Raw genomic sequence first — 13,600 nt, 5'->3', positions numbered from 1 at the left:
ACACTCCGTGGCTTTGATTGCTTTCGAGTGGATCTACCTCCTAGAATGCCAGCTGCCCACATGCTGCAGGGCAAAGTGGACATGCAGGCGCACATCCCTGCCCCTGTTCAACCATCAGGCTAGACCTCCTGGGGTCACCTCCCCCAGCCCCCCACGTGAGTTGTTTAATGGTGCTTTGGAGAAGGAGGGGCAGCAGCCTCAGTAGGGTCTAGTAAGCAGGCCTGGTGGCCTCCAGCAGGCAGACGCAGGTGCGCAGAAGTGGCTGTGTTCCAGGCTCCCTTCCTCCCTGTGGGTAGCAGCTGAGTCCAAGCTGTAGAATGGAAGTCTACACTGCACTCTGTCAGTGAGCTCCCAGGGTGGGCTCGTGGGGGTCCTGGGAACGCAGAGACTTGGCCCTCTAGAGAGACCTGCGGGCCTCAGGGTAGCTGGTCCCATCCTTTGCTCCCTCCCCTGCACCCTCTAGGGGCCCCCACACTGGGCCCCAAAGCAGGGCTCCTTCTGATGTAAACCCCTCTCCTTCTCTTCCTCCCAGGGCACTGGTTCCTCTGTGAACCCTGTGGCCTCTTCTGTAGGTACTACAGGGTCCTTTCTCTTTAATCCACTGGAAATCAGGCCTTTGCTGTTAGCCTGAGTTGCCCGACAGACTAGAGAATCATTTCAGCCATGAGCCGAGCCATCCTCACATGGACCGCACTGGAAATCCTGGAGGTGTAGGGCCAGTTTAGTCCCCACCCCAACAGCCTGCCCTTCCCCCAGTCCTGGCCAGGCTCCTGCCTCAGGCCTTTTGTTCTAGCTGTTTCCTCTGTCTGAAATGTTCTAGCCCAGACTCTGCTTGGCTATTCCTTCCCCAAGCTCCTGTTGAAATGTTGGCCTCTTCATGGGGCCTCCCTGGAGCACCCAGCTTAGTACGGTGACCCGAGTGAGTGCACACCCTCGCACCCACCAGCACTCCTCATCTCCCAGCCCTATCTGCTTCCTCTTTCTTTCCATGGAACCCACTGCCTACATGAGGATTATAGAATGTAAGGCTGGGCGCAGTGGTTCACACCTGTAATCCCAGCACTTTGGGAAGCTGAGGCAGGAGGATCCCTTGAGGCCAGCCTGGGCAACATAGTAAGACCCGTCCCTACAAAAAAGAAAACGAAAATTAGCCGGGCTTGGTGGTCCCAGCTACTCAGGAGGTTGAGGTAGGAGGTTCACTTGAGCCCAAGAGTTTGAGGCTGCAGTGAGCTGTGATCCTGCCACTGCACTCTAGCCTGGGTCACAGAGGGATACCCTATCTCAAAAAAAAAAAAAAGACAGAAAGAAAGGAATGTATTTATTCTGTCTATTGTGCCTCCCCAACAAAATGTGGGCCCCAAGAGGGCAGGAATCTTTTTTTTTTTTTTTTTTTTTTTTTGAGATGGAGTTTCGCTTTTGTCACCCAGGCTGGAGTGCAATGGCACGATCTCGGCTCACTGCAACCTCTGCGTCACAGGTTCAAGCAATTCTCCTGCCTCAGCCTCCTGAGTAGCTGGGATTACAGACAGATGCCATGACGCCCAGCTAATTTTTGTATTTTTAGTAGAGACGGGGTTTCACCATGTTGGCCAAGCTGGTCTCGAACTCCTGACCTCAGGTGATCCACCCGCCTCGGTCTCCCAATGTTCTGGGATTACAGGCGTGAGCCACCACGCCCGGCCGAGGGCAGGAATCTTTACTTTTCTCGCTGATGTCTCCCAAGTGCCCAGAACTTGCCAGGCCATTTTAGGTGCTCCATAGACATTTATTTAGATTGTCGCTGGCACTGGAGCTGAGAGCAGAGAGAAGCTTGAGGGAAGAAGGGGGGTCCTCAAAGCCATGGCTACCCCTCAGAGGGGAGGCAGGGGCAGGGGAAGGAGCGGGGCCGGGCGGCCACCGGATCTCTGGACCCCTCCACCCCACTTGCCCTCCTCCCTCGGGGGTGGGGGGGCATGTCTGCCCTGCACACGCATGTTGGCACACACCTGCGTACCCTGCATAGGTGGCCCCACCTCCCACCTAGTCCAGATGCATGCGCGGCTGACGTGGCTGTGGTTTTGAGGCCCCAGAGGTACAGATTAGAGTCAGGGCGTCTGTCCTTTTCGGCTGCAGGAGCAGGGTGGGATGGGGACAGGCACTCCCTGCAAGCAAGCACCCAGAGGCCCTTTCTCCCTGACCTCTTGCACACACATGTGGACAGACAGGTGGTCCCCCAGGCTGGCTGTCCTTAGACCTCAGGCCCAGGAGCTGTGCACCTATCTATACTAGGCCTTGTTGCAGGGGAAGAGGGGCGGCAGAGGAAGTGGCTGCGGGCGCCCTTCCTAGCGTCTGAACTTCCACCTTTAGTGTTTGTGCCCGACACATGGGCGCCCAGCTTTGTTTGTCAGTTCTTTCCTTTGAGGGAAGCGTTATTTCTTTTGCCTTCTCATGTCAAAACCACATCCCTGCGGGAGGGTTTCACATTCAGCCCTTAGTGGTGTTGAGCTTGTCTGCCCAGGCCTCCCTCACGCGCACACCATGTGGCCAGTCCTGGGGAGCATGCCGGTCCCCTGCTCAGAAACCTGCTGCTGCCCAGGGCCTACCAGGTCCAGCCCCGCACTCAGACCCAGTGCTCGAGGCCCTGCCCTGCCGCCTTCCCTACCCCAGGCATCCTGCTTTGCGGGCAGATGTGTGGCCTTGAGCCAGGTGTCCAGGTTCAATGCCAGCACTGTATGACTGGCAAGTCACTTAGCCTCTTTGTGCCCAGGTTCTCTTCCTCGCAGAACTATTGTGAGAGTTAAGTAGGTTCACATATGCAAAGTGCTTAGCACAGCACCTACTGTGCAGGTAAGGTGTCAATTAATATTAGCTGCCATGATGATCATTTCCTGCCTCAAAGTCAGGAGGGCCTGAGAAATGGCTTTGTCAGGGCTTTGCAGCCCAGCTCTGGCCTCCCAGACTGAGCCAGCTGCTTCCAGGTCACCTGGGAGCTTGTTGGAGACTCAGAGTCCCAAGCCGCTCTAGGGGTTGTGACACAGCAGCTGTGGGCTGGGCTGGGGTGGTGGGGCTGGGGGCCTCACACCTGGGCCTGCAGGCATCTGTGGGACAGGAATCCCCTGCAAGGCCCTTCCCCAGCCTCAGGCTGGTCCACCCACCCGAGTCTTTCCAATTCTGCTTCTCCAGATCCCCTGTGCCTTGCAAGGTTCCTGTCCTGCAGGAAGTAGGCCCACAAACCCTGCCGCCGACACCCCACAACCCCTCCTTCCTGGAGCCTCAGTTTCCTCAAGTATGAAAGGGGATAAAAAATGCCCACATCTCAGGATTAACATCAAGCAAGGTCTTAGATGAAAAGCACCTGGCCCATGGCAGCCGAGAAGGCTAGTTATTATTACTGCTATTGGTGTTATTGCCCGCACCCTGCACCTGCTGAGCACCTGCATGTTCCTCTGGGTTCCCGGCAGGGTCTAAATGCCTAAACTCACATCAGGTGTTAGGGAAGTTGTGTTGACCAGGGTGGACTCTGATTAACCTTCCACCTCCTTGCCTTGGGCTCTTGGAGCTGAGAGGGAGCACCATGGCTGGAGTCTGAGTGTGGCTGGCCCTCACTCAAAACAGCCTGAGTGAAGGAGGAAGGAAGAGAGGTTGAACTGAGTGGCTTGGGCCCCAAAGGATGTTGAAAGCTAGGCCGCGGAGTGACAGTTCTTGGGGGCCCCACTGTAGCTCCCTGCCCGCCCCACCGGCTGCTGTCAGTGGGAAGTGCACAGGCCCGGGGTGGGTAGAGGTAGGGTCCCAGCCTGGGCCAGCTCCCCGGGCCCTGCCACTGCAGACCTGGGCAGCCACCAGAGCTTTGCGTCTTGGGGTCAGCATTGCCTTCTCCAGGCTCCTCCAGTGGAAGCCGCCTCCTCACCGCACCCCCAGGCCCCACCTCGCCCCACCTCACCCCACCTCGCCCCACCTCACCCCACCTCGCCCCACCTCACCCCACCTCGCCCCACCTCACCTAGGCGCAGCCCCAGAAAATATCTATGAAGCACTCACTTCATAGATAGCACCTGTGCCAGGTGGTTTCAGTTCCACAACCTCATTTAATCCTCCACAATTCCCTGACATTTTATAGGAAAGAAAACTGGCTCAGAGAGGCTGAGTAACCTGCTCAAGATGACACAGCTTGTGGGTGGCTGAGTTGGCCTTCCAACCCAGATTCCTGTCATGTTCCTCAAGCCGACAGGTGGGTGAATTTGTGCTGGAAGAGACTATGCGACTAGGCCTCTTGTTTGTTGGGGGAAGAAATAGACACCCTGCACTGGGAATTGAGCGCCCCAGGCCATGCCGCAGGCTCCTGGCAGAACCAGGACGGGTTATAGAAACTTCTTTTGGCATTGGGTGCCAATGGGAGGGGCTCTGCCGGGAAGGCTTCCTCCTTTGCTGCCTCCAGGTCTCCCCTCAGAGGCCACCTCCCCACAGAGAAGCCTTTCTGGCAGTCCTAGCTGAAGTAGGGCACTATCACCCTCTATCCTGGGCTGGCTTTAGTTTTCTTTGTAGCACTTATTGTCACTTGCAGTTTTATGTATCCAATTATTTATTTATTGGTTCTCCCCCATGCTAGAATATGAACTCCATGAGCTCCAGGAGGGTCTGTCTTGTTCCCTTGCCTAGAATAGTACCTTGCACAAACGCCACAATTTTTTTGTGGAATGAATGAATGAGAGTGTCAGGTGATAAAGAAGCAAGCATACATGGGGGAAAGTTTGGTGTGATAATTCTGGTGGAGGAGGGAACTGAGAAGTAATTTACAAAAGGGAAGGGGCAGGGCCACTGTGGACAGCCATAGCATCTGGCACGAAGACTGCCAAGTGAATGGTGCCCCCTGCAGTTGGACAGTTCTCAACTTGGACAACAGTCCATGGTGCCCTTAAGGGTGGGAAGGGACCATCCCCTCAGCAGGGACTGAGGGAGAAGGGAGCCATGAATGGGGCAGGTCTGCAGGTGCCCTCAGCGGGAGGAACAGGCTGTTCCCTCTGTAAGGACGCCACGTGGTTGCGGTTAGCAGTTTGCCATCCGGTGTTGTCTCCACAGACAGTTGTCCAACCAGGGAGGGGGCTACTGCTCTGCTGTGAGCAATCGCTAGTACCTGGAGCACCCAGCAGGCTTCGGGCAGGAAAATCACCTGACACACCCCACAAACACACACCAAACACTGTGGACAAAGATAATCGCACAGGCAGAGGGGGGCTGTTTCCTGAGCCAGCCCCGGGCTCAGAGGTGGAGGACACTGTGTACTGAGGTCTCTCCCCTGAGCAGGGGCCTCGGTGAGGAACTTGTCACAGCTCTGTGGCCTGCCCCCCTTCCTCCTCCCCAGCCCCACAGGCTGGGCACAACAACAATCACCTGGCGATCGCAGGCCGTCTTCAGTGAGTCACCCTGCCCACAGTGAGCCTGGCTGGACGATGTTATCAGCTCCCCTGCTTACTTAATTCCTTGGGTGACATCACCACCGCCTCCGTCTTCTCCTTCTCGGCACTGTAGCCTGCAGCCTGGCATATCCTGGAAGGGAAGGCGGTGGAGGTCTCTTGCCAGAAACTACCAGGGCAGGTAAATTGGAACCTTCAGTTCCTTGACCTTTAGCCCCAAGGGGCTTGCCCTAGTTTCTTGCTTTGCACACAGGGGCCTCAGTTTACCTCCCAGGAGATGCTGTCTGCAGTGAAGCCCTGGGAAACACATGGCACCTCTACTCTGTGCTCATTCCCTCTCTCCTTGTGCAGAGGGGGTTTCCTGTTGGACAGAGGCCAAGCTGCTTGCCCTTCAATGTGTCCAAGTTTATCCTGGGGTTGTACCCCCAAGTCCAGCCTAAGTTCTGTCTCGCGTGGACACAGCTGCCTCCGAGCCTCTGTGATGGGCCTTTGGGTTCCCAGGCTCTCCCAGGCTCAGATGGGGCAGCCCTGCTGGCCTTCTACCCGCCTCTGTGTCCGGCCACCATGACCTGGGACTCAGCCCCTCACCTCCTGGGAGCCCAGGCCAGCCCTTCCCCGCCACAGCCTAGCATTCCCTTTTGCGTCCCCTCACCTTCACCCTTGCCAATACCGACCTGCAGGCCCAGTGGCACATGGGAAGTGCTGTAGGGTCAGTATAGCAATGACAGAAGTGACTGGAGATGTGTGTGGTTCCCTTTCAGCCTGGCCTCCTCCTCTGCATCCCAGTGGGATGAGGGAGGGGATTAGTTCCTCTCTCTGAATTGTCCTACTCTACCCCCTCCCCACCATTTGAGCGGGACAGCAGAGAGGGGAGACTGAGAGGCCCCAGGGAGGGGCTGAGCACAGGCCTCTCTGGCTGGACCTCGGTCTGTGATGGGAAGCTGCCCAAGCCTGGCATGTGAGGGAGGCAGCCAGGGGAAGCCGGTGGGGCTGGGCAGGGACAAGAGGCAACCCTCTGAGCTGCCAGACAGCTTCCTCTATGACCCTCAGGGGACGGTTCCTCCAATGGCACTGCCAGAGGCTGGGGAAAGAGGTGTCTAAACACCAGTCACTTTTGCTCTAGTTATTTGACCAAAACGAATTGTTCCTTAGAAGGAAAAAGAAAAAAACAAAACCACGAAACCCAAAAAACCTCACCATTGATGTCATGCCGATCACCCCGTGGGCTGATAAACAAGTCCTGGAGCAGATAGCATCCCTGGGCAGGGTGAGCACCCCCCACTGCACCCTTCCTACGGGAAGCTCATCGGAGGTCGGCCTCGCCACTCTGCACACAAACACTGCTGCCCCCTCCACATCCTGGAATGCTGTAGAATGCTGTTCCAACCTTCTGGAGTGGGGGGCCCCAGAGAGAGGTCAGAGCAAGCCTGGGCTCCTCCCCACACATGCCACTCTCACTGGACTGATGTTTCCTCACCTGTTGAGTGGAGGAGTGATAGAGGTATTAAGTATGAAGGTTCTTGGAAGTGTTCACTGGCCAGCCAAGAGGCTGGGGCCCTGCAGAGAAGGGAAAGGGGAGAGGGAACATTTCAGAGAAGAGATCCCACCTCAATGATTTAAGGTCAGTTGACAACATCTGGCCTCAGAGCTGATAGGGTCCCTTTAAGTCCTGAGCTGAGTTCTTATGAATGCTTCTAGGGAACTGCACGCCTTGAGAGTGATTGGCACCATTGCTGAACTCGGCCTGTGGTCTGCTCAGACCCTTGGCTCCTTCTCCAAGTTCTAGAATACAACCTAACCAGAGTTAATGGGTGTTCTTTCTGTTGTACTTCCCTACTTGATTGCAGACTAAGCTCAAATTCTAGTCCACCCTGATGGCTTCCCTCAGTTGAAGTGTACAGCCTGACTTCAGCTCTAGTTTGAGCCCTTATTCCTCTTTTTTTTTTCTTTGAGATGGAGTCTCACTCTGTCACCCAGGCTGGAGTGCAGTGGCATGATCTTGGCTCACTGCAACCTCTGCCTCCTGGGCTCAAGCGATTCTCCTGCCTCAGCCTGCTGAGTAACTGGGATTACAGGTGTGCACCAATGTGCCTGGCTAATTTTTGTATTTTTATTAGAGATGGGGTTTCACCATATTGGCCAGGCTAGTCTTGAACTCCAGCCCTCAGGTGATCCTCCCGCCTCGGCCTCACAAAGAACTACCACTCCTGTCCTGACCCCTTATCCCTCTTTAACTCTGAGCTCAAAGCTCCCGTCCACTTCCATAGCCCATACATACCTCACACTCATTTGTCCCAAACCAAACTTGTCTTTCTCTCACCAGCACATTCCTCCACTTGAATGCTACATCTTAGCTCACAGTCACACTGTAAGCCATCATCCACACCAGAGGCTGAGCCACCCCTGACCACTCCTTCTGTCCAGGGCATCTTATTGGCCCTCTCATCTGGTGAGTTCTAACGCTTTGGTGTCTTAAGGCTTCATCCCCTCTTCCTCATTCCTCTCCACCCCTCAGTTTCTATAGTAATTTAGATCCTCATCTCTTTCCTTAAGAACAGCCAGCGGAACCAATCAGAACTCCGAGGCCATCCTCGCACAGCTGCCAGGGGCTCTTTTCTGATGCCATGGTGCCCCCCTCTCAGTGTCTCCCTGCCTGCCCCTCCAGCTTCATGCTCTGACCCTCCTGGGTGCAGACCATGTGCATCTGGAAACAGCTGGGCCTACCTGCTTCATTACCAGTGCTCAGGCTGCTGGCAAGGCCCTCCTCTCCTCCTCTTCCCCCTTCACTGCCTCCTCCAGGAGGCTTTCCTGACTGGAGACACATGGCTGGTGCTCCTTCCTCCATGCCCCTACTCTGTCCACTTCCTGCTGAGCATGCTCCTCCCTGGGGTGCCTTCCCAGTTACAGACTCAGCCCCGACCCTGGCCACAGACAGGGCCTTCTTCTCTCTACCTAGACTGTAGCTCCACCAACCCTATGTTGTGGCTACATACCAGGCAGACCTGGGTGTGGGTATCCCGTTTTACCCACTTCCCACTGGGGACCTCGGACAAGTGACTTTCTCTCTCTCGGTCTTCCTTTCCTCATCTGTCAAATGGGAGGATAACATAACCTGCCTCCCAGGGTGGGTGGTTGGGCCTGGCACACCGTGAAGGGCAGCACAGGGCGTCCATGCGGCACCCGCTGTTTTGATGACTTGCTAGGACCTGGGAGAAAGTGCAGAGGGACCAGGTCTCTCCAGCACAGTCCTCCTGTTCTTCCCCCTTTCTGGCTGTCTGTGATCTCCACCCAGCAGAGGGCTTGGGCGAGGCCGCCTCTTCCCCTCTGCAGCACTTCCTCCCCAGGACCCAGTGCTGTCCACACCGGCGGCAGGGTCCAGTGTCAGACTCGTTCTCAGCCGGGGACTGTGTGGGCTGCCGCACTCCTCTCCCTGGTTGCAACTGCAGTGCTTTGCTCAATAAGGCCCCAAGGGTTGCTGCAACCACACGGGGACTGAGCCGCTGAGGTGGCACACAGTACACCAGTGGCTTCTAGCTCCAAAGTCCAGATGCTATCCACTCTGCCCTGCTGCTGCCCCTTCTGCCTTTCTTTTGGCATCTGAATGACCTTAGTCTCCTCATCTGCAAAATGGGCATAATAATTGCTTCTCTTGCTTCCTCAGCCAGAGGACAGGGAGAACAATGGGGCTGGGCTGGGAAGTTGTGAGGAGGTGGAGACCTCGCTGTGTGCAAGGCAGGAGAGCCTGGCTGGGCGGGGGATATGACAAGAGTTGCTGTAGGGAGACCTCACCATCCATCCAGCCGCCTCCCATCCTTGGCCAGAGCCGCGTGTCTGAGTCCACAGCGCCCCCTGCTGGCTAGCCGGCCCAGAAGCTCCCTGTGGGCAGCCCCAGCCCCACACGGCGTTTCCCCGCAGGGACCACGCGGAAGGAGCGGACCCTGCCCTCAGGGAGCCCTATCGGAGGAGGGACGTGCAGCCAGGCCTCAGGGAGCCCAGACGGGGCGTGGGGAACCGGGGCTTTTGTCTGAGAAGGGAGCTCCCGAGGTCAAGGAGCATACCATTCTGCTCTGAGGAACCTGCTGAAATCCTTCTGCGGAAGGTCTAAGGCCTGCCAGGGAGCCAGTGGTCAGCTCCAAGTCCAGCAGCCATCCCTTGATTAGGGCTGCCCCCACCCCGCTCCCATCCCACATGGACTTTGAGGGAGGGACATCGGGCAAGGACAGACCCTGGGAAATCAGGCTGGGGCTGGTAAGGTCCCTGGCTCGCCCTCAGGCTGGGCCCCCGTTGGCATCAGTGGCGGTGCTCCCAGCCCTCCGGATCCCAGGTGCCTTTCTTCTCCGTCGGACCTTTTCTTCAAGTCGGTGGCTTCATCATCTCAGCTTTTCCTTAGGCTGGTTCTGTATTGGGTGCTGGGGATTCTGGGAGGAGAAGCCCGTAACTGGCCCTCTGGGATCTCAGACATGCCCTTATCCCCTACCCTACCATCCCCCTTCCCTCCTTCCTCCTCAGTGTCTTCCCTGCTCCCTGGGCTCAGGGACCTGCTCTGGGAGGAAGGCAGCTGAGGCAAACAGACACCCCGCCCCCCCCCACACCAGATTAAAATCCAGCCAGCAGTGCCATCCTTCCAGGATGCTCTCCCAGTCATCCCACATCCTGGGCTCTGCTTACTGTGTTTGAGACTTTCCCCTCAAAATCCCTTCTCCCTCAACTGCCTACATAAGTCCCCAGTGGAATTTCACCTTGTCCAGGAAGCCTGCCTTGCTGGATCTCAGCCTCTGTGGTTTTTCCCAGCTTTAGACTTGCGCAGGATTTCCTGACACACGCTGCTTTATCCCATCTGCCCATAGTAGATGCTCCACGCCTCAGGAAGGAAGATCTATGGCACCTTCTTCCTTGCACCCCTGGGAAGACCCAGGGGACAGTCTCAACATGCTCACTGAAGCCCATTTAAGTCAGTGGTTTTCAACTGGGCACAGTTTTGTCCCCAGGGGACATTCGTCAATGTCTAGAGATAATTTTGATTGTCACAACTTGGGGAGGGGGCGGTGCTACTGGCATCTAGTGGATGGAGGTCAGGGATGCTGTGACACCCCACGATGCACAGGCCAGCCCCAACCCCAACAAAGAACTGCCCAGCCCAATATGTCAGCAGTGCCCAGGTTAGAAATCCTGATTGAAATAAATTCATAGATTGAGGTATAAATATAGCATCCAAGAAGAGGCAATGGCTCAGGCAGGAGCAAATCATCCCTCTGAAGGAGACAGAGCAGGAGCCTCCCCTCCATATGACCATCGCAGTCCCAGGTCCCTCCCACGGCCTTTCTTGGGCTGGTAGTGTCTAAGTGGAGGCCCACCTGAGCTAGAGGAGGAGGAGCCAGGGTCTGTCTAGAGAGGGAGTCCGTGGGGGAAGAGGGCTCTGTGTGAGGAGCTCTTTGGGTACAGGCTTGGCCTCAGTTTAGTCATCTGTAAAATGGGGATAGGGTGGCCCCTTCCAGTTCTAATGGTTTAGGGTTCTAAACTGAGTCTCTGATGTGCACAAGTCCTTTTTCCCTCTGCTGATGGGCAGGACCCCTCCAGCAGAGCTGAGGGTAGAGTACCGGCTTTGGGCCCCTTCACCAGATGTGTAGGGTTATTGTGGCTATAATTGCCCTTCCGGGAAACAGCTGTGAGAACAAGAATGCTTTGATAGGTTCCATCAAAGCTTCCTTCACGTCTCCTGGGGACTGACTGGGTGGGGGCGCATAAAGAACTTCCAGCTGGGAGCAGCTGTTAGCCAGGCCCCCATGCAGAGGTGGAGGCTCCACAGGGTGGCCCCACTTTGGTTGGGGTTAAGAATGTCCCAGAGGCTGGTCACCCTGAGACGGGCCTCTCTGAGGGCTCTTCAGGGGCTGTCTCTGTGCCCTCCTGGGGTGGGCTCGAGTGGCGCAGGGCGCTTGGCTGCAGAGCGGAGGTGGCACTCTCCTGGTGTGAAAACCTCTTGTGCCACCAGGGGCCTAGCTCTGGCTCTCTGGGGCAGGGGTCCACACAGAGGGCAGGGGAAAGTGAGCCCACTGATATCCTCTCAGTCCTCTCAGAGATAACCTGGTCTCTGGTTATCAAGGGGACCTGGAGCACCTCCCTCTCCGGATCTCACAGACCTGCCTTATGGGGGAGAGCTCTATCTGGGGTCCACACCTCACCAGGAAAGGATTGGCCTTGGAGGAGAATAAGCCTCTCTGCCAGTCAAGGCCTTTTTAGCACTTTCCACAAGGAAACTGTTGCCCAAGCAGCCCCTTCTGCAAGTGGGGTGTGTGTGTGTGTGTGCGCGCATGTGCCTGTGCACACTGGCTGCACCGCGACTGGGCTGAAACATCCCTGGGTCCTATCGTGCGGCTCTGCAGGTAAGGCTACATTTTGGAGTTGGCCCTGGGTCAGATGCTGGAATCTCCACAGAGACATTGAACTCCTCCGAGCCTCAGCTTCCTCATCTATAAATGAGCAAAGTATCAGTTCCTACGTTATGGATTGTTGTGAGGGTTGAATGAGGGAATGTATGTTAAGCATTTAGCGTGGTTGCTGGGGCATAGATTGTGCTCAGTGGGTGCTGGCAAGTGTGGCTTTTGCTGCTGCTGTTGTCATCATCATCACCATTCAAGTTAACATCTTGATTTCCAGAATCCAACTTTCAGGTGATCTATTGCTTTAGCCTGATGTGAAAAACAAAGCACTGCCTGGCTTTCCCCACAACCCCACCGCCCTCCAAGCAGCTTGCAGAGGCAGTTGGGAGAAGGTTTAGCCCAGGAACACCTTGGACATTTGGGGTACAGGATGAGGACCACAGATGTGGGGTGGCTGGGGATGCAGCTGAGATTGGCTGTGTTCCTGTTGCTTTCGGGGAATGTGTGTGAGATCATGTGTGGTGAGTGTGTGAGGGTGCAGGAGTGTGGTCTGCACCGTCTGGGTGTGTGTCTGTGTGGGGCATGCATGCATGCTCTGGGTGAGGGCACGTGTGTGCCGGGTGTGCACCATGTAGGAATGCTTCTCGGTCCGTGTGTGTGAGGGCTTCTCTGCATTGACACCCCTCTGGGTTTCTCTGCCCCCCTGCTCCCCAGCTGAGTGCATCTGTGTTTCTGCTGCTGTGTGTGGGTACCTGGCCCTTGGGTCCTTTCTAACAGTGCCGTGGTGGGCTGATTTGTGGGAGCTTCTGCTGCATGAGGGGGCTCCAGGGCTGACGTGAATGGAGGTAGCACAGGCCTGCTGCTTCAGGAGGGCTGAGTGTGGAGGCCTTCTGGGTCTGCAAACATCCTCCTCATGCTAGTGGAAGTTAAAGATTCTTTCCTGCAGTAAAGACTATCGGGTTATTAAATCTAATTCTGAGCCACGATGGAGTTTAGAGTTCCACCCTGGACTAGTTCTCTCATTTTACGGCTGGGGATCTGAGACCTAGCCAGGGGTGGGGCATGGCTTGAAGTGTGGGCCGTGGGGGCTATGGGCTGCTGTTGGGCACCTCCCTGGCCCTACTCCCTACCCTGAATGGTGTCTCTCCGCGGCCAGACCCGGGGCAGAGGTAGAAGTCTCAGCAGAGAATCTGGGTTTCGGCACAGCTTCTGCTGGTCCTGGCAAGGACTTCTCTGGGAACAGGCTCCTAGAGCATAGAGTTTCTGATAAACAATGAATAACTTTTTAGTATAGTATGTCATAAATATTGCATGGAACATATTTATACTAAAAATTATTCATTATTTGTTTGAAATTCAAATTTAACCTGGCATTCTTATTTTTATTTGCAAAGTCTGGCAACTTAGCGCCAAATGGGCTAAGAGGCTGGGGGAGAAGTAAGGAGACCCAGCCGGCCATGTTCCACCCTGGCCAGCAAATTCAGGGCAGCTCCAGTCAGCTCATGCCTGTTGAGTGATTCCTGGGGCTCAGCCTCGTGCCGGGAGCATGGGGCTTACTCAATCTGAGGCCCAAGGCCTCTGCCTAGTAGATCCACATGGTCTAACTCAGTGGACCTGAATGGTGGGGCCAGGGAACCAGACTGGCTTAGGACAGCTTTCCTACTGATGTGGCTGCTGTTTTTCAAATGTTAGGAGATACTACTGTAATGAATAAAATGCACATTTGTTTCAAGGCAAGCATTGCATAATGGCTGTTGCTATTAAAACTTTTTCTCAATCAGGAGAACACCAAAAGCATAATTACTAGTGGAGAGGGACACATTTAGGGGTGTG

General features: G+C 55.7%; 1 long non-coding RNA gene across 3 annotated transcripts, besides 7 other annotated features; it reads right to left on the bottom strand.

The window, feature by feature from the left end:
- Positions 1,780–2,541: an enhancer, noted in NCBI's record as "H3K27ac-H3K4me1 hESC enhancer chr2:43361175-43361936 (GRCh37/hg19 assembly coordinates)". NCBI's record gives its function as "activates a minimal SCP1, AML or CMV promoter by ChIP-STARR-seq in primed H9 embryonic stem cells {active_cell/tissue: H9 hESC(primed)}" and the evidence as "EXISTENCE:reporter gene assay evidence [ECO:0000049][PMID:30033119]".
- Positions 2,199–2,268: an enhancer, noted in NCBI's record as "active region_15660". NCBI's record gives its function as "activates an Ori minimal core promoter by ATAC-STARR-seq in GM12878 lymphoblastoid cells {active_cell/tissue: GM12878}" and the evidence as "EXISTENCE:reporter gene assay evidence [ECO:0000049][PMID:35858748]".
- Positions 2,542–3,305: an enhancer, noted in NCBI's record as "H3K27ac-H3K4me1 hESC enhancer chr2:43360411-43361174 (GRCh37/hg19 assembly coordinates)". NCBI's record gives its function as "activates a minimal SCP1, AML or CMV promoter by ChIP-STARR-seq in primed H9 embryonic stem cells {active_cell/tissue: H9 hESC(primed)}" and the evidence as "EXISTENCE:reporter gene assay evidence [ECO:0000049][PMID:30033119]".
- Positions 2,709–2,758: an enhancer, noted in NCBI's record as "active region_15659". NCBI's record gives its function as "activates an Ori minimal core promoter by ATAC-STARR-seq in GM12878 lymphoblastoid cells {active_cell/tissue: GM12878}" and the evidence as "EXISTENCE:reporter gene assay evidence [ECO:0000049][PMID:35858748]".
- Positions 4,203–8,181, bottom strand: LOC105374570 (uncharacterized). Of its 3 annotated transcripts, XR_007086297.1 has the most exons (4): positions 7,669–7,741; positions 6,868–6,947; positions 6,588–6,780; positions 4,203–5,523 (listed from the first exon to the last, which is right to left on the bottom strand). It is a non-coding gene; the product is annotated as an uncharacterized LOC105374570 (long non-coding RNA). The 3 variants fall into 3 exon arrangements; XR_940018.3 differs by lacking the exon at positions 7,669–7,741 and adding an exon at positions 8,115–8,181 and having other exon boundaries at positions 6,588–6,947; XR_940019.3 differs by having other exon boundaries at positions 6,588–6,947.
- Positions 4,864–4,913: a silencer, noted in NCBI's record as "silent region_11417". NCBI's record gives its function as "represses an Ori minimal core promoter by ATAC-STARR-seq in GM12878 lymphoblastoid cells {active_cell/tissue: GM12878}" and the evidence as "EXISTENCE:reporter gene assay evidence [ECO:0000049][PMID:35858748]".
- Positions 5,404–5,463: an enhancer, noted in NCBI's record as "active region_15658". NCBI's record gives its function as "activates an Ori minimal core promoter by ATAC-STARR-seq in GM12878 lymphoblastoid cells {active_cell/tissue: GM12878}" and the evidence as "EXISTENCE:reporter gene assay evidence [ECO:0000049][PMID:35858748]".
- Positions 8,712–9,212: an enhancer, noted in NCBI's record as "H3K4me1 hESC enhancer chr2:43354504-43355004 (GRCh37/hg19 assembly coordinates)". NCBI's record gives its function as "activates a minimal SCP1, AML or CMV promoter by ChIP-STARR-seq in primed H9 embryonic stem cells {active_cell/tissue: H9 hESC(primed)}" and the evidence as "EXISTENCE:reporter gene assay evidence [ECO:0000049][PMID:30033119]".

Source organism: Homo sapiens, chromosome 2, assembly GCF_000001405.40.
Source record: "Homo sapiens chromosome 2, GRCh38.p14 Primary Assembly".
NCBI lineage: Eukaryota > Metazoa > Chordata > Mammalia > Primates > Hominidae > Homo > Homo sapiens.
Note: the sequence above shows the minus strand (reverse complement) of the source record. Positions and strands in the feature narration are given on the sequence as shown.